Consider the following 26,789-nt stretch of genomic DNA (forward strand, 5'->3'; position numbering starts at 1 on the left):
ATTATTCAGTGATGCTTATTAAAGCATGATAAGGAAGACTTTATTCAGGACCATAGCGATGGGTATAGGACCAGTGCAACAGGGTCTGGGAGTGGGCAGAGAGATTGGGCTCAACTCCGAAAGCAGAATGGGCAAATGGGAATTTATGGCCAAGGAGCAGTGCGGGGGTCAGTGGATAGAAAATTACTTAGAGGAAACTGGGGTAAGAGGGATTCTGGCTAAAATGACCTAGAGGAATCTTGTAGAAGACAGGCCAGGGTGATCAGACATCACCTGGGGGATGGTGAAGGATGAAGACCCTGATCAGATATCAAAGATGATCGGTTGTCGAAGATTGGGGGTTCTGGCTAAACTGACTTAGCAGTTTTGCTAAAACTGGACTTTACAAGGAGGTGCATAGATAGGACTACGAGAAGGTTCAGAAGTCTCACTAAAGTTTGGCCAAGCAAAAGCAAAGAATCCCTGTGGCCCTCCATTCCCCTCCCCTCTCCCCCATCTCACCTGAGTATAGAACTGAGCTGTTGGTTTGTGAGGGCATATGGGATTCTGGTACCTAGATTCTTGATTCTGGCTAGGGCAGAGTGGCTATCTGAGCATCAGGCCTAAAATAGGAGAACCCGGGTTTGAGCAAATTTGATATTGAAACTGAGAACTGGGTACTAGCCTTGGATATAGTTTGTCTGCATCCATAAAAACAACCTATCTTCAACCCATTCTCTCTAAATAGAACTTGGTCGAATTTTCTCCTCTGTCAGAGAAGAGACTGGCTGGCAGAGCAAGGGTCAGTATTCCTGGTTGTAATAGTGGGGGTTCTGTAATCAACTTAAAAGAAAAATTCTCTGCTCAGATTTATTATAGAAACACGTTAATTCACTATTTTGCCCTTTTAGAGAGCAGTTTTCTCATTATTACAATTTTTATTTTTTGAGACAGAGTCTCGCTTTGTCACCCAGGCTGGAGTGCAGTGGCGTGATCTCAGCTCACTACAACCTCTGCCTCCTGAGTTCAAGCGGTTCTCCTGCCTCAGCCTCCCGAGTAGCTGGGACTGCAGGTGTACACAACCACACCCGGCTAATTTTTCTCTTTTTAGTAGAGATGGGGTTTTGCCATGTTGGCCAGGCTGGTCTTGAACTCCTGACCTCAAGCGATCCGCCTGCCTCAGCCTCCCAAAGCTTAGAGGTGTGAGCCACCACACCCAACCCCCTAAAAACTTTTTAAAACGTAGAGAAAGATAAAGAAAGTAATTGTCCTCTTTTCTTCCACTCGGAGGCAATTGTTGTAAATATTTTGGTGTCTTGTTTCTCAATATTTGTTTAGGCTGTGGCCTGAACTACCCTGGCCTGAATCCCAATCAGTTCCTTGGCCCAATTATATAACTTCTCTGTGCTTCAGTTTATTATCTATAAAATGGGTATTATAATAGTATCTGCCTATAGGTCATTAGAAGAAACAAAAAGGTATACATGTAAAGTGCTTAGAACAATTGCCTGAGAGAGTGGTGCTTATTAATTTAGTCTTTTTTTTTTTTTTTTGAGACAATGCCTTGCTCTGTCACCAGGCTGGAGTGCAGTTGTGTGATCACGACTCACTGCAACCTTGACCTCCTAGGCTCAAGCAATCCTTCCACCTTAGCCTCCCCAGTAGCTGGGCCTACAGACACATGCTACCAAGCCTGGCTAATACAACATTTTTTTTTATTTTAGAGATGAGGGTCTCACTATGTTGCTCAGACTTGTCTCCAACTCCTGGGCTCAAGCAGTCTTCCCACCTCAGCTTCCCAAGTAGCTGGGACTACAAGTGCACGCCACCACACCCGGTTATGTTAGCTCTTTATTTTGTTTGCTTTTATTATACATGCAGATTAACAATCTTTATACAGTTTGGTATTTTGCCATTTTCTTTAATGCAAGAAAGAAAAGGATGCAAAATTACATATGAGTTATGCATTCATGCTTATAATATAAGCATATTTCCAAATTATAAAAGTTTCTAAGTATCATTTTAATGGCTGCAGGGTAGTCCATCAAGTGAATATTCTGCAACTTAATTATTCTATGATTTTTGAACATAATTCAGATGATTTCCTTTTTTCTTTTTGCTATTTTAAACAATACTGAATCTTCTAAGCATATTTAGACATATATTTCTCTTCTTTCTTTTTTTTTTTTTTTGAGATGGAGTTTCGCTCTTGTTGTTCAAGCGACTCTCCTGCCTCAGCCTCCCAAGTAGCTGGGATTACAAGCATGTGACACCATTCCCAGATAATTTTTTTGTATTTTTAGTAGAGACAGGGTTTCACCATATTGGCCAGGTTGGTCTTGAACTCCTGACCTCAGGTGATCCACCCGCCTTGGCCTCCCAAAGTGCTGAGATTACAGGCATGAGCCACTGTGCCCAGCCTTCTTTTTTTTTTTTTAAAAAAAAAAGAAATGGTGTTGGCTCTTTTGCCCTGGAGTACAGTGGCTATTCACAGGCATGATTCCCACTAATGATCAGCATGGGAGTTTTATTTTATTTTTATATTTATTTATTTATTTATTTTTTGGGATGGAGTCTCGCTCTGTCTTTGAGGCTGGAGTGCAGTGGCCCAATCTTGACTCACTGCAACCTCTGCCTCCTGGTTTCAAGCTATTCTCCTATCTCAGCCTCTAGAGTAGCTGGGATTACAGGTGCATGCCACCACACCCAGCTAGTTTTTGTATTTTTAGTAGAGATGGGGTTTCGCCATATTGGCCAGGCTGGTCTTGAACTCCTGACCTCAGGTGATCTGCCCACCTTGGCCTCCCAAAGTGCTGGGATTACAGGCATGAGCTACCATGCCCGGCCTAAAAATGGTAGTTTGGACCTACTCTGTTTCTGACTTGGCTGGTTCACCTCTCCTTAGGCAACCTTGTGGTCCCCTGCTCCTGGGAGGTCACCATATTGATGCTTAATTTAGTGTGGACACCTGACCGGCATGGTGCACTACAGCTGAGAGCTCCTGGACTAAAGCAATCCTTCTACCTCAGCCTCCCAAGTAGTTGGGACTACAGGTGCACACCACCATGCCCAGTCATTTTTTTTTTTCATATTTAGGAAAATTTCCGAATAGATTTCCAGAATTTACACAACTTGGTGAGAGAATATGAGTACTCTAAGAGCCTCTGATGCATGAGGCCAAGCTGCTTTTCAAAATTTTAACCAATTTATACTTTCCGTAGCAGCACATGAAAACCCTTGTTTCACTCTACTCTGCAAACTTTCAGAGACTATTTTCAAATAAGCCTAATGAAAAGTATTCAACACATTATTTAACACAATTTATTGAGCAGCTATTACATGTAGCCAGCTGTTCTATTCACTGAGGCTACAACAGGATACAAGACACAGTGCCTACCTTTATAAACTTTATATTCTATGAGAAATTAAACTGCAAAACCTGTGTTTTCTGAAGTGTGGGTGTTAACAGATGTAATACAAATAAAAAGTTCTAGGGTCAACTATACTTGGGAAACTCTAGACTCTGAATATAATTCAGATGGTTTCTGCTTTTTGTTTTTTTTTTTGCCATTTTATTTTATTTATTTGCTTATTTTTTGAGATAGGGCCTCACTCTGTTGCCCAGGCTAAAGTGCAGTGGCACAGTCATGGCTGAGTACAGCCTCAGCCTCCCAGGCTCAAGCAATCCTCCCACCTCAGCCTCCTGAGTAGCTGGGACTACATGTGCACACAGCCACACCCAGCTAATTTTGTATTTTGTAGACACAGGTTTTTGCCATGTTGCCCAAGCTGGTCTCGAACTCCTGAGCTCAAGCGATCCTCCTGCCTTGGCCTCCCAAAGTGCTGGGATTATAGGTGTGAGCCACCTTGCTTGGCACCACCAACCCCCACTTTTTTTTTTTTTGCCATTTTAAACAATTCTGAATCTTCTAAGCATCTTTTTTTATATCTAGAAAAATTTTGAAATAGATTTCCAAAACTGACACAACTTGGTGAGAGAAAATTGAAAAGCTGCATGGAAAATTAATTATAAGGAGAAAAAAGGAAAAAAAATTAATTATAAGTAAACTGTAAGGTTGCACAGCAGCAGAGAAATACCCTCTGTTTATTTTGTATTTACCCAAGGATGATCTCAAACTCCTGGCTTCCAGATCCACCCACCTCGGCCTCTCAAAGTGCTGAGATTACAGGTGTGAGCCGCCGCGCTTGGTGCCCTGCCCCCAACTTTTTGACATTTTAAACAATTCTGAATCTTCTAAACATATTAAGACACACTTTCTTTCATATCTAGAATAATTTCCAGCCACTTGCACATCTCCAAAATAGTGGTTTATGGTCATTTCAATTTTAGGATTTGTTAACTGGTTGCACATATATGGTTTCATTTTTATTTTGAGTTTTAGGATGACTCGAGATGTAGATGGGCTTGGTATTCCCCCATTTTATAGATGGTGAAAACGTTTTGGATCCTGCTTACGCAGCTTGTCTAGGAAATGGCAATTTGCATCTCAAACCCAGGCACCTGCACCAAGTCCCATCTCTTTCCATCTCTATGGTTGAAAGAATAAGTGAATCATTCAGGATGTGTTTCTGGAATGGGATTTTGAAGCTAGCCTGTATTTTAGTGGTGTGGGCAAAGGGAGAAACACAGAAGCCCTGAAGCCTGATAACACTGCATCCACACCTCCCTCCTGCCTGCTCTTGGATTTCTGGGTGCCTGTAGGCAAATCACTGTGATGTCAGGCCAGGGCGCCATGTGCAAACTCCCATGTGGAGGGAACTGGCAGAAACTTCCCAGCTGTGACACTGCCACACCCTCTGCTATGCAAGAACAGAGCATTTGGAAAGGAACAAAAAGTTGTATCCTATAAGGGAAGAGGCCGGGCGCTGTGGCTCACACCTGCAATCTAAGTACTTTGGGAGGCTGAGGTGGGCAGATGGGCTTGAACTCAGGAGTTCAAGACCAGCCTCGGCAACATGGTGAAACAATGTATCTACAAAAAAAAAAAAAAAAAAAATTAGCTGGGCGTATGGTCCCAGCTACTTGGGAGGCTGAGGTGGGAGAATCACTTGAACCCTGAGGGGCAGAGGTTGCAGTAAGCCAAGATCGCACCACTGTGCTCCAGCCTGGGTGACAGAGTGAGACCCTGTCTCAAAAAAAAAAAAAAAAAAACAAAAAAAGAAAAAGAAGTGAAGAGACTTAGCACTCTGCAGTTATCGCGCTTTCTCTCTGCACAAACTCAAATCATTTAAAAATGAGTTATTTTAATATTTTAGTAGTTGAGGCCAATGGAGTCAAAGGTACTTGCCCAAGGCCACAGGGCAAAACTCGGACATCTAATCTCGATGTTTTTGTTTACACTGACCTTCAATTCAAAATAAATATTGCTCGCTGTTTTATTTTCTCTACAAAGAAACCATATGCAGTGGTAGAAATGAGCAGTGTGGTGGCATCAGACCCTCACTGTACATGCTCTTAAAAAAGTGACTCAAAGGCTTAAAAAGTGACTTAAAGCCTCACACCTGTAATCCCAGCACTTTGGGAGGCCGAGGCGGGCGGATCACCTGAGGTCAGGAGTTTGAGACCAGCCTCGTCAGCAGGGTGAAACCCCATCTCTACTAAAAATACAAAAATTAGCCAGGTATGGTGGTGAATGCCTGTAATCCCAGTTACTCAGGAGGCTGAGACAGGAGAATCATTTGAACCCGCGGGGCGGAGGTTGCAGTGAGCCTAGATTGTGCCACTGCACTCCCGCCTGGGCGACAGAGTGAGACTCCACCTCAAAAAAAAAAAGTGACTTAAAATAAATTTTTGTTTGTGTGACAGGGTCTCACTTTGTCACTCAGGCTGGAGTGCAGGGGTGAAATAATGGTTCACTACAGCCTAAACCTCCCAGGCTCAAGCAATCCTCCCACCGCAGCCTCCCTAGTTGCTGGGACTATAGGGATGCACCACCATGCCGCCAGCTAATTCTGTTATCTTTTTGTAGAGATGAGGGTCTTACTATGTTGCCCAGGCTGGTTTTGAACTCCTGGGCTTAAGCGATATTCCCCCCTCCACCTCCTAAAGTGCTGGGATTACAGGCTTGTGCCACCACACCCGGCTAAAAGTGACTTTTCCTTTAACCCAGAAAGAACGCTTCCAATCTATACTAGTCAGAAATCTGGACCAGTGTTAATGTGGAAAATGCTCACCACACTCAGCTTTAAAACGGCAAAAAACTAGAAACACATGTCTGAACATAAGAAAATGGCTTTTTAAATGGCATATTATGTAGCCACTAAAATGAGATTTTTCAGGGTTGGATGCAGGACTATAAGCATAAGCCTATAATCTCAGTGCTTTGGAAGGTCGAGGCAGGGAGAATCACTTGAGCCCAGGAGTTCCAGATCAGCATGGGCAACATAGTGAGACCGCATCTCTACCAAAAAAAAAAAAAAAAAAAAAAAAGCCAGGCATGGTGGCACATCATGCCTGTAGTTCCAGCTACTTGGGAGGCTAAGGAGGGAGGATTGCTTGAACCCAGGAGGTCAAGGTGGCAGTGAGCTGTGATTGTGCCACTGCACTCCAGTCTGAGCAACAGAGTGAGACCCTGTCTGAAAAAAAAAAAAGAGATACAGAGATTTTCAAAAAGTATTTAATGACATAAAAAGTACTTAATGACATGAGGAAAAATTACAAACCACACTGTGTGTTTTTCTACACAGTGAAAAATGCTCACTACACTATAGTAGTGAGCATATGTCACTACTATAATCAGAAAAAAAAGGATGACACGATCCTGTCACTTATTAATGACTATGGCCCTTAAAGGGGAGATACATCCTCTGTGGTTTCTGATAACACAGCTTCTGATATGAAAGGCAATTGCCTCAAGTTAAGGAGATCCATGAAAGACTGAGGAATTGGATCAGATTACCTCTTAAATTCCTTCCAAAGCTTAGCTTTAACGTAGACTCCTCCAACCTGGGGGAATTTTCTTTAGCTCTGCAGAATGCAGATAAGGATGGTATTTGTTCAGAGCAAAGGATAGTAATAACAATTTCCCTGTGCATTTCTTTTTTTGAGTCAGGGTCTTGCTGTGTCCCTCGGGCTGGAGTGCAGTGGCACCATCACAGTTCACTTGCAGCCTCGACCTCCCTGGGTTCAAGCCATCCTCCTGCCTCAGCCTCCAGAGGAGCTGGACTACAGATGTGAGCCACCATGTCTGGCCCCTATACATTTTGTCACACCAGAAGGACCTGAGAAATGTTTGCATTGTTCAAGTATTTATTTATCTTGGAGTGAATTCTGCTTCAATTTTGTCTTTCTGTTCTTTTCTTTTCTGAGTTCATTTTAAAAAACTGCATGAATCCTTTCTAGCAGACCAGAGCCACTTGTTGTCTTGGGGTGATGGGCTTTTACATGTAGCTGGTCTTTCTGTTTAAACCCAAAGGATGGGAAAGTGCCCTTGACAGCTTTCAGCAAGGATCTCTAGCACTTACAAAAAGGGGGCTTTAGGGGAGTCATGCCAATCTATGGAGGTCACTGGGCTGGAACCGATCAGGCTTTCAACAAAAAAAGTGTTGATAGAAATGGACAATGGGATTCCAGGTACTGAATCCATATCATTTTAAACTGTTTATCTTTAGGACTTGGCGCATCTGCTAGAGAAAAACAGCAAATAGCACATCTAAAAACAGCTTGGTGGTTTTTTGCATCTTTAGAGAAAGCTGCTTTAGGAGGGTCTGCAGTATAGACCTCCTGTATCTGCAAGGTGACAGACGGAGGACCCCAAGCCGTGGGAACTGGTCACCTACTGTGGGGCCCAGGCCTCTCCCCACTGCAGGTCAAGCCCATCTTGAAGCCACCACCTGCTTAGTGCTCAAGGTCACCGCTCTCAGCCTGGTCCAGGTGCTGAAGGATCATCTCGACACGAGGGGGCGCCATCTCCTCACATTGTGAGGAAGCCTCTGGCATCGGGATGAATTTTGTTCTAGAGCTTTCCTTCTACAAACCTCGGTGTTGTTCTCGCTCACATGCAAGAAAGAATCGGAGTATTGTGAGGTCTGCAAATGAAAGGGTCCCTTGCCAAATGCTCTAATCCAGGCTCCTGGTGTTTGCGGGCCCAGATAGCTACAGTTTGTTGTCCCCTGGCTGCAAACCTTCTAGGAGTTTCTAGCTTTAGAAACCCTAGAAACAAACCCCTTCTAATGTTTCAGCTCCACAGCCCCTGCCCACCCAGCCCCTCAGACTTCCCATAGCAACCCAGGTTGGAGTCATCTCGCCCAGGTTTTCATATCTGCTCCACGGGCTTCACAGAAAAGTGCTGCTGGCTTGGAGCAGATCCGTAACTCTGATATCAAAGTCCTTTTTCTTTTGGGGCTAGGGCAGTTCAGGGAGAAGTTATGCCACTAAATGGGTGCCTTGTTGGGGAAGACGGTAATGACTGTAGGAATGAACAAATGATAAACAGCAGAACATTCTTCTGTTCATTGATTTGAATCAAAACAGACTGTAAATTGAGATGAGGAATGAATGTATTAATAGTAAACTGGACCTGCTTGGTGCCCTTTTTTGATGTCATGAAGCACTCTGCAGTTCCAGCTGCGGCCAAGCCTTGGGGCCTGGGGGACCTGGGTCACTGGAGTCTGGTTATGATCCTGTTGTTCCTGCAGAGGCAGCGTCAGGTTCTGCAGCCCCAGGGCCTGGGTTGGAATTGCAGCCCTTCCCTTCACCAGCTGTGTGACTTGGGCAAGTTGCCTAACCTCCTGCCTCATTTCCTTACCTGGAGAATGGAGATAGTGATGGTATATATCATGTAAATTATGTAATGCCTGCAAAACATTTAACGCAGCGTGGGCAAGGAGTCGGCACACCACAAACTAGAGCTGTTACTCTCATCCCCAGGATGCAGTCCCCTCTAAATGCAGTATTTTGTCTTTCAATAGAGGCAAGATGAATGCAAACATGGATCATGCTTCATTATGGATTTTTTTTTTTTGAGACGGAGTTTCGCTCTGTCCCCCAAGCTGGAGTGAGTGCAGAGGCATGACCTCAGCTCACTGCAACCACTGCTTCCTGGGTTCAAGCGATTCTCCTGCCTCAGCCTCCAGAGTACTTGGAACTACAGATGCGCCCCACCACACCCGGCTAATCTTTTTGTATTTTTAGTAGAGATGAGGTTTCACCATGTTGGCCAGGCTGGTCTCGAACTCCTGGCCTCAAGTGATCTGCCCGCCTTGGCCTCCCAAAGTGCTGAGATTACAGGTGTGAGCTACCGCCCCCGGCCTTCCATTTTGGAATGTTAATGCTTTGTTTCATTACCTTCTTTTTTTAAATTTTTATTTATTTTTTATTTATTTTTATTTTTTTATTATACTTTAAGTTTTAGGGTACATGTGCACATTGTGCAGCTTAGTTACATATGTATACATGTGCCATGCTGGTACACTGCACCCACTAACTCGTCATCTAGCATTAGGTATATCTCCCAATGCTATCCCTCCCCCCCTCCCCCCACCCCACAGCAGTCCCCAGTGTGATATTCCCCTTCCTGTGTCCATGTGTTCTCATTGTTCAATTCCCACCTATGAGTGAGAATATGCAGTGTTTGGTTTTTTGTTCTTGCGATAGTTTACTGAGAATGATGTTTTCCAATTTCATCCATGTCCCTACAAAGGACATGAACTCATCATTTTTTATGGCTGCATAGTATTCCATGGTGTATATGTGCCACGTTTTCTTAATCCAGTCTATCATTGTTGGACATTTGGGTTGGTTCCAAGTCTTTGCTATTGTGAATAATGCCGCAATAAACATACGTGTGCATGTGTCTTTATAGCAGCATGATTTATAGTCCTTTGGGTATATACCCAGTAATGGGATGGCTGGGTCAAATGGTATTTCCAGTTCTAGATCCCTGAGGAATCTCCACACTGACTTCCACAATGGTTGAACTAGTTTACAGTCCCACCAACAGTGTAAAAGTGTTCCTATTTCTCCACATCCTCTCCAGCACCTGTTGTTTCCTGACTTTTTAATGATTGCCATTCTAACTGGTGTGAGATGGTATGTCATTGTGGTTTTGATTTGCATTTCTCTGATGGCCAGTGATGATGAGCATTTTTTCATGTGTCTTTTGGCTGCATAAATGTCTTCTTTTGAGAAGTGTCTGTTCATGTCCTTCGCCCACTTTTTGATGGGGTTGTTTGTTTTTTCTTGTACATTTGTTTGAGTTCATTGTAGATTCTGGATATTAGCCCTTTGTCAGATGAGTAGGTTGCGAAAATTTTCTCCAATTTTGCAGGTTGCCTGTTCACTCTGATGGTAGTTTCTTTTGCTGTGCAGAAGCTCTTTAGTTTAATTAGATCCCATTTGTCAATTTTGGCTTTTGTTGCCATTGCTTTTGGTGTTTTACACATGAAGTCCTTGCCCATGCCTATGTCCTGAATGGTAATGCCTAGGTTTTCTTCTAGGGTTTTTATGGTTTTAGGTCTAACGTTTAAGTCTTTAATCCATCTTGAATTGAGTTTTGTATAAGGTGTAAGGAAGGGATCCAGTTTCAGCTTTCTACATATGGCTAGCCAGTTTTCCCAGCACCATTTATTAAATAGGGAATCCTTTCCCCATTGCTTGTTTTTCTCAGGTTGGTCAAAGATCAGATAGTTGTAGATATGCGGCGTTATTTCTGAGGGCTCTGTTCTGTTCCATTGATCTATATCTCTGTTTTGGTACCAGTACCATGCTGTTTTGGTTACTGTAGCCTTGTAGTATAGTTTGAAGTCAGGTAGTGTGATGCCTCCAGCTTTGTCCTTTTGGCTTAGGATTGACTTGGCGATGCGGGCTCTTTTTTGGTTCCATATGAACTTTAAAGTAGTTTTTTCCAATTCTGTGAAGAAAGGCATTGGTAGCTTGATGGGGATGGCATTGAATCTGTAAATTACCTTGGGCAGTATGGCCATTTTCACGATATTGATTCTTCCTACCCATGAGCATGGAATGTTCTTCCATTTGTTTGTATCCTCTTTTATTTCCTTGAGCAGTGGTTTGTAGTTCTCCTTGAAGAGGTCCTTCACATCCCTTGTAAGTTGGATTCCTAGGTATTTTATTCTCTTTGAAGCAATTGTGAATGGGAGTTCACTCACGATTTGGCTCTCTGTTTGTCTGTTGTTGGTGTATAAGAATGCTTGTGATTTTTGTACATTGATTTTGTATCCTGAGACTTTGCTGAAGTTGCTTATCAGCTTAAGGAGATTTTGGGCTGAGACAATGGGGTTTTCTAGATATACAATTATGTCGTCTGCAAACAGGGACAATTTGACTTCCTCTTTTCCTAATTGAATACCCTTTATTTCCTTCTCCTGCCTAATTGCCCTGGCCAGAACTTCCAACACTATGTTGAATAGGAGTGGTGAGAGAGGCCATCCCTGTCTTGTGCCAGTTTTCAAAGGGAATGCTTCCAGTTTTTGCCCATTCAGTATGATATTGGCTGTGGGTTTGTCATAGATAGCTCTTATTATTTTGAAATACATCCCATCAATACCTAATTTATTGAGAGTTTTTAGCATGAAGGGTTGTTGAATTTTGTCAAAGGCTTTTTCTGCATCTATTGAGATAATCATGTGGTTTTTGTCTTTGGCTCTGTTTATATGCTGGATTAGATTTATTGATTTGCGTATATTGAAGCAGCCTTGCATCCCAGGGATGAAGCCCACTTGATCATGGTGGATAAGCTTTTTGATGTGCTGCTGGATTCCGTTTGCCAGTATTTTATTGAGGATTTTTGCATCAATGTTCATCAAGGATATTGGTCTAAAATTCTTTTTTTGTTGTGTCTCTGCCTGGCTTTGGTATCAGAATGATGCTGGCCTCATAAAATGAGTTAGGGAGGATTCCCTCTTTTTCTATTGATTGGAATAGTTTCAGAAGGAATGGTACCAGTTCCTCCTTGTACCTCTGGTAGAATTCAGCTGTGAATCCATCTGGTCCTGGACTCTTTTTGGTTGGTAAGCTATTGATTATTGCCACAATTTCAGAGCCTGTTATTGGTCTATTCAGAGATTCAACTTCTTCCTGGTTTAGTCTTGGGAGAGTGTATGTGTCGAGGAATTTATCCATTTCCTCTAGATTTTCTAGTTTATTTGCATAGAGGTGTTTGTAGTATTCTCTGATGGTAGTTTGTATTTCTGTGGGATCGGTGGTGATATCCCCTTTATCATTTTTTATTGCGTCTATTAGATTCTTCTCTCTTTTTTTCTTTATTAGTCTTGCTAGTGGTCTATCAATTTTGTTGATCCTTTCAAAAAACCAGCTCCTGGATTCATTAATTTTTTGAAGGTCAGTTCTGCTCTGATCTTAGTTATTTCTTGCCTTCTGCTAGCTTTTGAATGTGTTTGCTCTTGCTTTTCTAGTTCTTTTAATTGTGATGTTAGAGTGTCAATTTTGGATCTTTCCTGCTTTCTCTTGTGGGCATTTAGTGCTATAAATTTCCCTCTACACACTGCTTTGAATGCGTCCCAGAGATTCTGGTATGTTGTGCCTTTGTTCTCATTGGTTTCAAAGAACATCTTTATTTCTGCCTTCATTTTGTTATGTACCCAGTAGTCATTCAGGAGCAGGTTGTTCAGTTTCCATGCAGTTGAGCGGTTTTGAGTGAGATTCTTAATCCTGAGTTCTAGTTTGATTGCACTGTGGTCTGAGAGATAGTTTGTTATAATTTCTCTTCTTTTACATTTGCTGAGGAGAGCTTTACTTCCAAGTATGTGGTCAATTTTGGAATAGGTGTGGTGTGGTGCTGAAAAAAATGTATATTCTGTTGATTTGGGGTGGAGAGTTCTGTAGATGTCTATTAGGTCTGCTCGGTGCAGAGCTGAGTTCAATTCCTGGGTATCCTTGTTGACTTTCTGTCTCGTTGATCTGTCTAATGTTGACAATGGGGTGTTAAAATCTCCCATTATTAATGTGTGGGAGTCTAAGTCTCTTTGTAGGTCACTCAGGACTTGCTTTATGAATCTGGGTGCTCCTGTATTGGGTGCATATATATGTAGGATAGTTAGCTCTTCTTGTTGAATTGATCCCTTTACCATTATGTAATGGCCTTCTTTGTCTCTTTTGATCTTTGTTGGTTTAAAGTCTGTTTTATCAGAGACTAGGATTGCAACCCCTGCCTTTTTTTGTTTTCCATTTGCTTGGTAGATCTTCCTCCATCCTTTTATTTTGAGCCTATGTGTGTCTCTGTATGTGAGATGGGTTTCCTGAATATAGCACACTGATGGGTCTTGACTCTTTATCCAATTTGCCAGTCTGTGTCTTTTAATTGGAGCATTTAGTCCATTTACATTTAAAGTTAATATTGTTATGTGTGAATTTGATCCTGTCATTATGATGTTAGCTGATTATTTTGCTTGTTAGTTGATGCAGTTTCTTCCTAGTCGCGATGGTCTTTACATTTTGGCATGATTTTGCAGCGGCTGGTACCGGTTGTTCCTTTCCATGTTTAGCGCTTCCTTCAGGAGCTCTTTTAGGGCAGGCCTGGTGGTGACAAAATCGCTCAGCATTTGCTTGTCTGTAAAGTATTTTATTTCTCCTTCGCTTATGAAGCTTAGTTTGGCTGGATATGAAATTCTGGGTTGAAAATTCTTTTCTTTAAGAATGTTGAATATCGGCCCCCACTCTCTTCTGGCTTGTAGGGTTTCTGCCAAGAGATCCGCTGTTAGTCTGATGGGCTTCCCTTTGAGGGTAACCCGACCTTTCTCTCTGGCTGCCCTTAACATTTTTTCCTTCATTTCAACTTTGGTGAATCTGACAATTATGTGTCTTGGAGTTGCTCTTCTCGAGGAGTATCTTTGTGGCGTTCTCTGTATTTCCTGAATCTGAACGTTGGCCTGCCTTGCTAGATTGGGGAAGTTCTCCTGGATAATATCCTGCAGAGTATTTTCCAACTTGGTTCCATTCTCCCCATCACTTTCAGGTACACCAATCAGACGTAGATTTGGTCTTTTCACATAGTCCCAAATTTCTTGGAGGCTTTGCTCATTTCTTTTTATTCTTTTTTCTCTAAACTTCCCTTCTCGCTTCATTTCATTCATTTCATCTTCCATCACTGATACCCTTTCTTCCAGTTGATCCCATCGGCTCCTGAGGCTTCTGCATTCTTCACGTAGTTCTCGAGCCTTGGTTTTCAGCTCCATCAGCTCCTTTAAGCACTTCTCTGCATTGGTTATTCTAGTTATATATTCTTCTAAATTTTTTTCAAAGTTTTCAACTTCTTTACCTTTGGTTTGAATGTCCTCCCGTAGCTCAGAGTAATTTGATCGTCTGAAGCCTTCTTCTCTCAGCTCGTCAAAGTCATTCTCCATCCAGCTTTGTTCCGTTGCTGGTGAGGAACTGCGTTCCTTTGGAGGAGGAGAGGCGCTCTGCATTTTAGAGCTTCCAGTTTTTCTGTTCTGTTTTTTCCCCATCTTTGTGGTTTTATCTACTTTTGGTCTTTGATGATGGTGATGTACAGATGGGATTTTGGTGTGGATGTCCTTTCTGTTTATTAGTTTTCCTTCTAACAGACAGGACCCTCAGCTGCAGGTCTGTTGGAATACCCTGCCGTGTGAGGTGTCAGTGTGCCCCTGCTGGGGGGTGCCTCCCAGTTAGGCTGCTCGGGGGTCAGGGGTCAGGGACCCACTTGAGGAGGCAGTCTGCCCGTTCTCAGATCTGCAGCTGCGTGCTGGGAGAACCACTGCTCTCTTCAAAGCTGTCAGACAGGGACATTTAAGTCTGCAGAGGTTACTGCTGTCTTTTTGTTTGTCTGTGCCCTGCCCCCAGAGGTGGAGCCTACAGAGGCAGGCAGGCCTCCTTGAGCTGTGGTGGGCTCCACCCAGTTCCAGCTTCCCGGCTGCTTTGTTTACCTAATCAAGCCTGGGCAATGGCGGGCTCCCCTCCCCCAGCCTCGCTGCTGCCTTGCAGTTTGATCTCAGACTGCTGTGCTAGCAATCAGCGAGACTCCGTGGGCGTAGGACCCTCCGAGCCAGGTGTGGGATATAGTCTCGTGGTGCGCCGTTTTTTAAGCCCGTCGGAAAAGCGCAGTATTCGGGTGGGAGTGACCCGATTTTCCAGGTGCGTCCGTCACCCCTTTCTTTGACTCGGAAAGGGAACTCCCTGACCCCTTGCGCTTCCCAAGTGAGGCAATGCCTCGCCCTGCTTCGGCTCGCGCACGGTGCGCGCACCCACTGACCTGCGCCCACTGTCTGGCACTCCCTAGAGAGATGAACCCGGTACCTCAGATGGAAATGCAGAAATCACCGTCTTCTGCGTCGCTCACGCTGGGAGCTGTAGACCAGAGCTGTTCCTATTCGGCCATCTTGGCTCCTTATTCTCATTACCTTCTTGAGTTGTGGCTCAGACACTACAACAGAGCTCTGTCACCTCTTTCTAAAAGCTGGGAAATGGTTATTGTCAACGCCAGCCCCATTTTGGAGGCACCTGGTTGCAGGGGACCACAGCTAGGTGAGTCACAACTGGGTGTCTTCATCAGGGGGTTTACAAGGGAAGACAGACTAGTGATTTTAGAACAATCAGCAATCAGGGCACATTGGCAAGCAAGCACAGAGCAAGATTTATTTTATAAAAAAGAGCGTTTATGTTTGGTTCAAACAAAAATGTGAGAACGGCCGAGGCTTTGTAGGAGTTCACCACGAAAAAGGAAATTACATGGTAAAAAAAAAAAAAAGAAAAAAAAGAAAGATAAATTCTACATTTTTTTCTTTATATAATTATTTAGCTGGAGCAAAAGTGAAAGTAAAAGTTGGGGCAAGGAAACACATTCAGATGTGGGGAAGTGCTCCCAGAACGTGGGACAGCGAGTGGCGGAGTCCGATTTTGAAATGCTCCAGAGAGAATATGATCTTCCTGGACCCCACAGTGGGATGCACCACCCCAAAAACCATTGGCAAAGTTTGGTGACAGAGGAATCATTTTGTTTCTTTTTATGCATAAAGAACACACAGAAAGGAACACTTGCTTTGAGGATCCTGGTAAATCAGGCTGGTGTTCTGTTGGGGCAGTGCAGTTTGGTACAAGGAAGTGGTCACTGCTGACCCCACGGAGAGGCTGGGAAAAGCGTAGATGAGGTGACTGGAGAATAAAGGAGGCTTTTTCTAGCTCAAGGTTTAAAGGCAGCCACAGTGTCTGTAGCAGATGAATTAGTGTGACCTTGGAGATGGCCCCTTGACCCGAAAGTGGTAAAGAATGCCATACTTTTCATTTTGCAGGACACCTCCTTGGGGGAGGCTGGGCTGGTAGCATATTTCTACGGGCTTATGGTTCTGTGGATAGAATTGTAGGGCTGGATAAAAGCACTGGCTATTTTGAGTTTTTAAGCAATCAGGGGGCTATTAGTGGGGTGGTCTTTGGGAACCAAGGCCAAATCTGCAGGACAGCAGAGTAATTCAGATCATCTATATTGTATGGCTTGAAATGGGATAGAAAGCCATCTTTATTCATTCATTCATTGCAGGCATGAACTCTTTAAACAAATATGAGTGGCCTATTTGAGATCATGATAGAAATTGTAGGGAATAGAGAAGCAACCAAGACTGACCCTATAAGGAGCTGTCACCAACTCCCTTTGAATCAATTTTAACTTTTTTCTTTTTTTTGGGACAAGGCTTTCACCCAGGATGGAGTGCAGTGATGCAATCTCGGCTCACTGCAACCTCTGCCACCTGGGCTCAAGCCATCCTCCCACCTGAGCCTCTCAAGTAGCTGGGACCACAGGCGCACATCATCACACTCGGCTACTTTTTGTATTTTTTGTAGAGATGAGGTTTCATCATATTGGCAAGGCTGGTCTTGAACTCGTGAGCTCAAGCGATTTACCTGCCTCAGCCTCCCAAAGTGCTGGGATTATAAATGTAAGCCATCATGCTTGGCCTGAACCAATTTTAACTTTTAAAAATCACCTTTTCTTTGTTATACATTCAAGAAGACACTGAGATGGGCATTAGACTAACATCAAGCTAAGTTGCATATAATTTCATAAACTCTGAGCTTTCTTGAATATATTTTTTAATTTGTGGGAATTCCTTGTACACCTGAGCCCCAAAGACACAGCAAACTCCAGTCATAGCTTGGCAATTAAATGAAGCAATGAAAGAGAGAGAAAAAAAATGATAAAAACAAGTCATTCCAGTTGGCAGAGCCTCACAGTACAGTTCTCAAAGTGGCTGTTCATCAGAAATGAAGTTGGCACCATCTTAGGGACATTGGATCAAGTCAGTCCATTTGTGACAAGGACAAAAGGAGTAGTAGTCTTTCCTTTTGTGATGTGTGACAGCACTGCTCACCCTGGAATTAATGGGGTTTATATAATCCAGATTTGCTGATGTCCTCAGGGCCTGGAAATTTTCCTTATTTGTGTTCCAATTCTAAAGGTTTCCTGAGAATATTCTAGAAGTAGTCTTTCATGGTAGCCATCAATCCTGGCTACTGATTGAAGTCAACTGTAGAGCTTAAAAAATGACAGATGTCCACCAAAGGCCTATGAATTAGAATCTGCCTTATTTTATTTTATTTTATTTTTTCGAGACGGAGTCTCACTCTGTCACCCAAGCTGGGGTGCAGTGGCACGATCTCAACTCACTGCAACCTCCGCCTCCCAGGTTCAAGCGATTCTCCTGCCTCAGCTTCCTGAGTAGCCAGGATTACAGGCATGCACCACCGCACCAGCTAATTTTTGTATTTTTAGTAGAGACAGGATTTCACCACGTTGGCCAGGCTGGTCTCTAATTCCTGACCTCAGGTGATCCACCCACCTCGGCCTCCCAAAATGCTGGGATTACAGGCTTGAGCCACCACCCCTGGCCTTATTTTATTTTTAATTAATTGTTGAGCTTGAATATTCAGTGATTGAACAGGGATTAAATATCCCAGCATATCTATGGTGGAACGCTATGCTGCTGTTTAAAACTATGGTGAAAAAGAATTTGTTGACCTGAGACAATATTCATAATGCCTTGCTAAGTTTTTTTTTTTTTAAAAGAGCAGGCTCAAATTCAAGAAAGAGTAGCCTGTGTATAAATGAGGTTTTTGTTAAATAATTGTGTATTTATACACATTATATAAAAGGCCAGAAAGAACCTCAAAAACTGTTGACAGTGTTGGCTTCTGAGCAATGATTTCTGTTTGTCTTTTTTTTTTTTTTTTTTTAAGACAGAGTCTCGCTCTGTTGCCCAGGCTGGAGTGTAGTGACATGATCTTGGTTCACTGCAACCTCCAACTCCTGGATTCATCCAATTCTGGTGCCTCAGCCTCCTGAGTAGCTGGGATTACGGGCATGGTCACCATGCCCAGCTAATTTTTGTATTTTTAGTAGAGACGGGGGTTTCACCATGTTGGCCAGGCTGGTCTCGAACTCTTGGCCTCAGGTGATCCATTCGCATTGGCCTCCCAAAGTGCTGGGATTACAGGTGTGAGCCACCATGCCCAGCCTTAGTTATGTTTCATAATAAAAAGAAGACACTCCAAATGGAAGGTTACAGCTGACCTTAGGGACAGTGTCCCCTTTGATGACTTGGGACCTCCCCTTATGGGAGCAGAGACAGCTGGCCGGTTGCAATGGGTCTGTAGGTCCTGAACTGAAAGTGTGACAGGTTTCTAGGGTGGGACTGGAGTGAACCAAATATCTTGATAGGATAAATTTTGCAGAAATATTTTATACAAGTAAAATCAACACTGTGGACTCAGCTTTGATGTTTTTAAAAAATTTTTGCATGCTAAATTAAAAAAAATTGTATTGCCCCCTGCTTTATTGAGACATAATTGACAAGTAAAATTGAATATATTTAAGGTACAGAATGTAATGACTTGATATACATAAACATTGCAAGATGCTTACCACAATCAAGTTAATGAACGTATTCATAACCTCCCACAGTTACTTTTGGATGTGTGTGTATGGTGAGAATACTTAAGTTCTTCTCTGTTAGCAAATTTCAAGTGTACTATACATTGTTATTAACTATAGTCACCATGCTATACATTAAGTCTCCAGACAAAACAGTTTTAAACACATTATTCTAAAGTATCCCTGGAGCTAACAATTATATATGATCCCCCTTATTTCTCATATTTCTTTTCTTTTCTTTCTTTTCTTTTCTTTTGAGAGGAGTCTCGCTGTGTTGCCCAGGCTAGAGTGCAGTGGCACGATCTCGGCTCACTGCAACCTCCACCTCCTGGTTCAAGGGATTCTCCTGCCTCAGCCTCCCAAATAGCTGGGATTACAGGTGCCTGCTGCCACACCCAGCTAATTTTTGTATTTTTAGTAAAGATGGGATTTCACCATGTTGGTCAGGTTGGTTTCAAACTCCTGACCTTAAGTGATCCACCTGCCTCGGCCTCCAAAGTGCTGGGATTACAGGCATGAGCCACCACACCCAGCCTGTTTGTCTTTTCTTTAGTGTTTCTCTGTGGTTTTGGAGTTTTAAGCATTAATCTCACGTTACTTTTGTACTGAGGAAGAATCCCCTCAATAAATATTAATGCTTTCCCCTTCAGGGACAACATGGTGAGGAGCAGCAAAGAAGAAACGAGATACGTGTGGCTGCTTCATTTACTCATTCATGATTTTTGGTTAGCCTTTGAAAGTTTATTTTTCAATTTTATTTAGTCTTTTTTTTGTATTCATAAAGGAAAAAAAAAGGGTCTTCAGTGCTTGTGTGAGCCTGGCACTTGGTTTTATGCCCTTGGGCTGTAGAGGTCAGTTTCTCAAGTTCAACTGCTACAGTTCTTTTTGCCTTTTTTTTTTGAGCCAGGCAGGGTCTGCTCTGTCACCCAGGCTGGAGTACGGTGGTGCGATCACAGCTCACTGCAGCCTCAACCTCCCGGACTCAAGTGATCCTCCCACCTCAACCTCCCGAGTATCTGGGACCATAGGTGTGCACCACCACATCCAGTTAATTTTTTTATTTCTGGTAGAGATGGGATCTTGCCATGTTGTCCAGGCTGGTCTTGAACTCCTGGGCTCAAGCAATTCTCCCACCTCGACTTCCCAAAGTGCTGGGTTTACAGGCGTGAGCCACTGTGTTTGGCCCAAGTGCTGCAGTTCTTACTCTCCAGCTCACAGAAGAGGCAACGAGGAGCCTGTTGAAATGCAGATTCTCTCCCAAGAGGCTCTGTGAAGTAGTCCTGGGTGGGGCCAGGAATTTCCTATTTTAAACCAGCTCCTCATGTGATTCTGAGCTATCTGGCACGGGTCTCTGAGAACCTGTAAATGGGGCTTAAATTGCTCAAAGCCTAAAGACAATGAAAAGTGGCAGAATGTGAAGACCCGGTTTGTTGGTTTCACCCTGGAATCTCAACTGAGTTCCCCCAGAATGTCCCTGGACCCATGACCCTCAGCTGAAATGTCTTAGTTTAGAATGTGACATGTCTAAGTGGGATGACAATCAAAATAGACCCAGCTGGGAAGTTGCCAGCATCCTTGAAGGTTGTTAGATGTGGCAAACACCTTCCTTCCTTCTTTAAGGGTGGTAAGAAAACAACAGCTCAGGAAGTCATAATAATTCTAACAGCAGCATCTACTTAGCACTGTCTAAGCACTTCATGTTCATTTACTCATGTAATCCTCCCCAAACCTATAGGATGCCTATAGGTAAAATCATCCCCATTTTACAGATGAGGAAACTGAGGTTTAGAGAGGTGAATGATCTTGCCCAAGACTACATGGCCAATCAGTTAGCTTGCCTCCAAAGACCCTGGGCTTAACTGCTATATTATCCAACCCCAAACTCTACCAGTGGCCACTGTGCAAATTCTGGCTGTGTGGCTGCCTCCAGGGTTCAAGAATATTGACCATTGCCTGGCAGCTTGCTGCTTGGGGGCCCCTGCTGAACATTTTCTGGTGTGAAATCATTATTTAACTTCAACCTTCTAAAACTGTGCCCTTCATGGTCCCAGCTAGCACAAAGGTAAAAACACTTGATAAAACGCATAAAACACAGCCAGCAGCGTATTTCCAAATCACGTTGTAAGCCAGGCAGCGTTCTCTTGAAACATACATCCTTGGGGGCAAAGCAGTTAAGAGAGGTTCCACTGCAGTGTGTGGACTGGGGTGTTCACTGAACCAGACAAAGCTGGGGGTTTTGGGATGCCAGAGGCCTGTAGTGGGAACAGCTAGGGGAGGACTGCAGCCAATCTGGATAGTGGCAACAGGACAGGGAAATTGACTCTAGTTTTTGCTCAGTAGCAAAACTGTTTTGAAAGAGAATCTCTCCTCTACCTCACCCCCAGGCATGTTTTTTAAGTCTTTAAAAAATACTGTTAAAGCAAACTATATATGGATATGGCCTGAAAAGGACTCCCTACTTCTTCTTTTTTTTTTTTTTTTGAGATGAAGTCTTGCTTTGTAGCCCAGGCTGGAGTGCAGTGGCACGATCTTGGCTCACTGCAGCCTTCACCTCCTGGGTTCAAGAGATTCTCCTGCCTCAGCCTCCTGAGTAGCTGGGATTACAGGTGTCCACTACCATGCTAAGCTAATTTTTCGAATTTTTATATTTTTAGTAGAGACAGGGTTTCACCATGTTGGCCAGGCTGGTCACAAACTCCTGACTTCAAGTGAACTGCCCACCTTAGCCTCCCAAAGTGCTGGGATTACAGGCATGAGCCACCGTGCCCGGCCCCGGACTTCCTACTTCCATATTTGAGTCCTTGTGGACGAACTGCAACCTAACTTTGAAACAGATTGAAACCCTAATTTAGGATTATGACAAGATTGAAATCCTAATTGAGGAGTATGCAGCTGTAACAATTGCCGAGTCTTGGCCAATCCCAGCAGCCTTACTTCAACCGCTCATACACTGCTGAGTGTTCACACTCTGTTCAAATAAGGCAAACGCCGAGCTGTAACCGATCCAGCTGTTTCAGAATCTCACCTCCGATTTCTGTACGTCACTTCCTTTTTTTTTTTTTTTTTTTTTTATAAATTTGTTCAGACCCGAGTCATCCCTGGAGTCTCACACTTGATCTTAGCCAAAAGGCCGAGAAGCGATCATCCCTGGAGTCTCTCTGAATCTGCCGTGATCCTGGGGGCTGCCCGATTCGTGCATTGTTCATTGCTCAATTAAACTCCTTTAAATTTAATTTGGCTGAAGTTTTTCTTTTAATGATACTATGATGTGTCATTATTATTTCACTTTTCAAATTATTCAAAATTATTTTCAATTTTATGGTATGGTACATACCGTAAAATTTCTGTACTCTTTTAAAGCTTACATTTCAGTGGTTTTCAGTATATTCACAAGGTTGTGCAACCATCACCACTATCTGGTTCTAGAACATTTTCTTCACCCCCAAAGAAGCTTCATACCCATTAGCGGTCACTTTCCATTCCTTCTTCCCCACAGCCCCTGGCAAATTCTGACGGTTTTAATGGTTAAATCTTTTCAATTACATCACAAGACACCATGGAACTCATTACTCTTTCTGGCACATAGTAGGTACTTAGTAAATTTTTTTTTTTTGTGATAAAGCTTTCAATTAAGACTTTCTACTCTTTTTGCTGGCATATGTGATAATTTTAAAATTATAGTCCAGGTGCGGTGGCTCATGCCTGTAATCCCAGCACTTTGGGAGGCCAAGGTGGGTTGATCACCTGAGGTTAGGAGTTCGAGACCAGCCTGGCCAACATGGCGAAACCCCGTCTCTACTAAAAATACAAAAATTAGCCAGGCGTGGTGGCTTGCACCTATAATCCCATCTACTCGGGAGGCTGAGGCAGGAGAATCACTTGAACCCGGGGGGAAGAGTTTGCAATGAGCTGAGATCACACCACTGCACTCTGGCTTGGGTGACAGAGCGAGACTCCATCTCAAAAAAAAAAAAATTGTGTTAAACATCTAGAAGAAGACGACATACAGCTGAGTTGGATTTTTTCCCCCTCCTCTCCCATTTAGAAAAGTCTGAACTCAGAGGTCTCATGTCAACTGGATAATTGTTTTATTGGCCTTATTCTTAACTTAGTGTGATTTAGGAAAAGACAAGGACATCTAGAGTCATGTTGTAATCACAGTTCTGTGATATTTCATGTTTTTCTAACTCATAAAAATACAGTGAGGAAATCAACAGCTTGGACTGTGGGAAAAGAAGTAAAGCTGAAACTCTGATACGCACAGGCCTGAGTATGTTGTTTACAGAATGAAAAGCGAGTTCCACATAAGCTGAGACTTGGCTTCAGTCATGCCTGGGAATCTACAAACTCAATGCCCTCTCACTGGCAGAACATAAAAGCTAAAGATTACCCCTAATCCCGTGGCATTTTAAAATCCATGGAATGGGCTTTGGTGCTCAGCAATTTTCACTTAAAGTCACACACTCTTTTGGAGGTACAAATGTTTCAGTTCCCCCAGTAGTATCTCTGGTAAGACTTACCAGAATGAATATTGATGCAGATGAAGACACGATTGTTCTGTCCAGAAGTGATCACACTCCCCTTCACCCCCAAGTTCCACTTTTTAAACAATTCAAATAATGGAAGCTCATGTGACAGCTTTCTGCTGGTAAACCAGAGAATAAGATTCACTGCACTGGAAAAAAAGTGGAAACCACTCACATATTTATCAATGGATGCATGAGTAAACAATATCTGGCATATCCATACAATGGAATATTATTCAGCCATAAAAAGGAATGAAGTACTGACACATGCTACCACCCTGAAAAGATGATGCTGGCCGGGCGCAGTGGCTCACGCCTGTAAGCCCAGCACTTTGGGAGGCCAAGGTGGGTGGATCACCTGAGATCAGGAGTTCAAGACCAGCCCGGCCAACATGGTGAAACCCTGTCTCTACTAAAGATACAAAAAAAAAAAAAAAAAAAAAAATTAGCTGACCACGGTGGCAGGCGCCTGTGATCCCAGCTACTTCAGGAGGCCGAGGCAGGAGAATCACTTGAACCCAGGAGGCGGAGGTTGCAGTGAGCCGAGATCGTGACATGGCACTGCAGCCTGGGTGACGAGAGCAAAACTATGGCTCAAAAAGAAAAGAAAAGATGATGCTGAGTGAGAGAAGCCAGATGACACAAAAGTCTACTTGTATGATTCCATTTATATGACGTGTCAGCAGAAAAACAAACCCGTAGAGACAGAAAGCAGATGAGTGGTTTCCAGGGTCCGGGGAAGGGAAAAGGGAAGTGACTGCTAACGGGTAAGGCATTAGCTTTAGTTAGTTGATTTCTTTTTGGGGTGATGAATATTCTGGAATTAACGGTGATGGTTGCACAACTTTGTGACTATACTAAAAACACTAAATTGTATAGTTTCAGAGAGAAATTTTATAGTGTGTAAACTACATCTCAATTAAAAAAAAAAAAAGTAAAAAGAAAACGCTGCATAAGCCTCCCGTGGGGTTAAAATAAGAGTAAGAGAAAAAAACATGACTTCATTGTGTGGGTGCCTGTGTTGAAGATGATTTAGTAGCTTCTGCCGTGAGGCATTTGCTAGAATAAAATCCTTTCTGCCCTCATCATTGTCAGCACACTGGTTCGGGCCTTTAGCACTCCTACCTGGATCGTGGAACTAAAGAATTTTAGCAGCTGACAAGGACCTTAAAGATTGTAGCCTAACTCTCTCGCTTGTCAGGGGAGGCAGCTGGTGCCAGGCAGAAGAAGTGGCATGTTTGGAGTGGCCTGCCTGGTGTCTGAGCCACACCTGACACCCAGTGTTCTTTCCACTGGGCCTTTATTGCAATTGTTTTCCTCTCTCTTTAGTCTCTTCCTGCTCCAGTAGGATTGTACATTCCACTGACCTAATCTTCCCGAAATACAGATCTCATCACGTCACTGCCCTGCTGAAAAAACCCACAGTGGCTCCCCACTGCCTTCAGGCCCAGACCCCGGGAGCCTCCTTCACCTTCTGTCCACTTCTTGGCTCTCATGGCTTCCTAAACAAACTCCCTTTGCCACTGCAGCACATGGCGTGTGTCCCAATATCACGCTTCTGGGCACATGTTGTTAATCCACTTTGCATATGTTTATGTCTTTGTGGCTCAGCTAGATTGCAAGTTTCTCGGAGACCAGGATCATGCCTTTGACCTCCTGACACAGGGCACAGTGCAATTCCTTGTACTTGTTAGGGGTCTGGAAATATTTGTAGATTAGTTGATTTCATTCACAACCACAGCTAGTCTTCACCTGGTACACCTAAGAATATCTTGGAGGAGGCCGGTTGCGGTGGCTCATGCCTGTAATCCCAGCACTTTGGGAGGCTGAGGTGGGCGGATCACGAGGTCAGGAGATCGAGACCATCCTGGCCAACATGGCGAAACCCTGTCTCTACTAAAAATACAAAAAAAAAAAAACAAAAAATTAGCTGGGCGTGGTGGCATGCGCGTGTAGTCCCAGCTACTTGGGTGGCTGAGACAGGAGAATGGCTTGAACCATGGAGTTGGAGGTTGCAGTGAGTCGAGATCATGCCACAGCACTCCAGCCTGGTGACAGAGTGAGACTCCATCTCAAAAAAAGAAAAAAGAAAAAATCTTAGAGGAGTTCTGGCAACAGGTCACTGTTTTATGCTGCGTCTCTCATGAGTTTAACTTTTGGGTGTAATCTGGACAAGAAGATTCTCGAAACCTCCTATGAGATTGGATTTACTGTCAAAAAAGCAAAACACACTGACTTCAAAAGAAAAAAGCAAACATTATTTTTGAAACAACCTTTTAATTTCTTATAGAAGTACTGTAATTTGTGTTCTTGGAGATTTAGAAAATTCAGAGAAAGTTCCAAGAAAATAAAGAAGAAAATTGAAAGCTCCCATAATCCTAGCCCCTAGGGGCTGTCTATTGATAATCTTTCATTTTTACAGCCATTTTTCTATGCACACACAAACACCACATATATATTCTTTACAAAAATGAGATTCCACTCTGTATACTGTTTTATATCATGCTTTTAAATTAAGATAAAAATTAAAATTTAATAGGACTGCATTAAGTGGGAACAATTTTGCTGCTGTCAACTCGAGAGAGCATTCCAATGACACAGAGAAAGAGCAACTCCCTATTTGTTTTGCTTCTTTGCAAAACAAACAGGGTAAGAAGAGTTCTGAGAACTAAGGGGCAAGGTGCCTTCCTAGCTGCCGACTTGAGTTGGGCGTGGAGTTGCTTCATCTCCTTCTCTGTGTCTCCTCACCAGTTCTATTGAAGGAATTGGAGCTTGTACCCATGAAGGTCCTTTTCTAGTTTTTGGATTTTGTAAGCTTTGTTTTACATTTCTCCCATCCCTTCTTTGTGAATATTTCAGAGCCCTCTACTCAAGAGGGTAGGGGATGTGGCTACTTTGTTCCCTGTTTTGTTGCCAGCATGGTGCCTGGCAAAGAATAGACACTCAATAAATATTTGGTAATGAATGAATGGGTGAGACTCTCATGAGTGATGTCCTTTGTTATGGAAATCACTAGGCCACATGGTCTTCTTTTGGAAGCACCAAGTAGGAATTCTATATTTAGGTTCTTGGAATTGAAATAATAACACAAGTGACATTGTACATTAATCAATTAATGGAATATATGTAGCTGTGGCCCCATGAGGGAGTTCTTGTTAATTCCATTCCACAAGTGGCCAGGGTCCACTGCTAGCCTCATGATCCCAGGTCCCGGGTCCCCTCTGCTAATCTTCACTTTTGGGCACCACGGTTTCTCTCTGGTTGGGTAAGTCATTCCACGACCAGTAAGGCAAGCTTAAGGCCGAAGTTTTCAAATGTCAGTGTTCTTAAGAATTGCCCAGGCCTTACTAATCCCATTTTTTTTTTAGATGGAGTCGCCTAAGCTGGAGTGCAGTGACATGATCTCGGC

General features: G+C 43.2%; 1 long non-coding RNA gene and 1 pseudogene across 3 annotated transcripts in view, besides 1 other annotated feature; one reads left to right on the forward strand and one right to left on the reverse strand.

The window, feature by feature from the left end:
- RN7SL740P (RNA, 7SL, cytoplasmic 740, pseudogene) lies at positions 2,710 to 3,053 on the reverse strand (annotated as a pseudogene).
- Positions 14,490 to 15,131: an enhancer, noted in NCBI's record as "OCT4-H3K27ac-H3K4me1 hESC enhancer chr21:35303079-35303720 (GRCh37/hg19 assembly coordinates)". NCBI's record gives its function as "activates a minimal SCP1, AML or CMV promoter by ChIP-STARR-seq in primed H9 embryonic stem cells {active_cell/tissue: H9 hESC(primed)}" and the evidence as "EXISTENCE:reporter gene assay evidence [ECO:0000049][PMID:30033119]".
- The window catches only part of LINC00649 (long intergenic non-protein coding RNA 649), a 40,065-nt gene continuing 28,112 nt past the window's right edge, over positions 14,837 to 26,789 (forward strand). The window contains exons 1-2 of one of the 3 annotated variants that reach the window (NR_134559.1): positions 14,837 to 15,457; positions 21,940 to 22,087. This is a non-coding gene — a long non-coding RNA (long intergenic non-protein coding RNA 649). Of the gene's footprint in view, positions 15,458 to 21,939; positions 22,088 to 26,789 lie in introns of those variants that run through there. The other 2 variants (NR_038883.2, NR_134558.1) reach the window with 2 other exon arrangements.

Source organism: Homo sapiens, chromosome 21 (genome assembly GCF_000001405.40).
Source record: "Homo sapiens chromosome 21, GRCh38.p14 Primary Assembly".
Taxonomy (NCBI): Eukaryota; Metazoa; Chordata; class Mammalia; order Primates; family Hominidae; genus Homo; species Homo sapiens.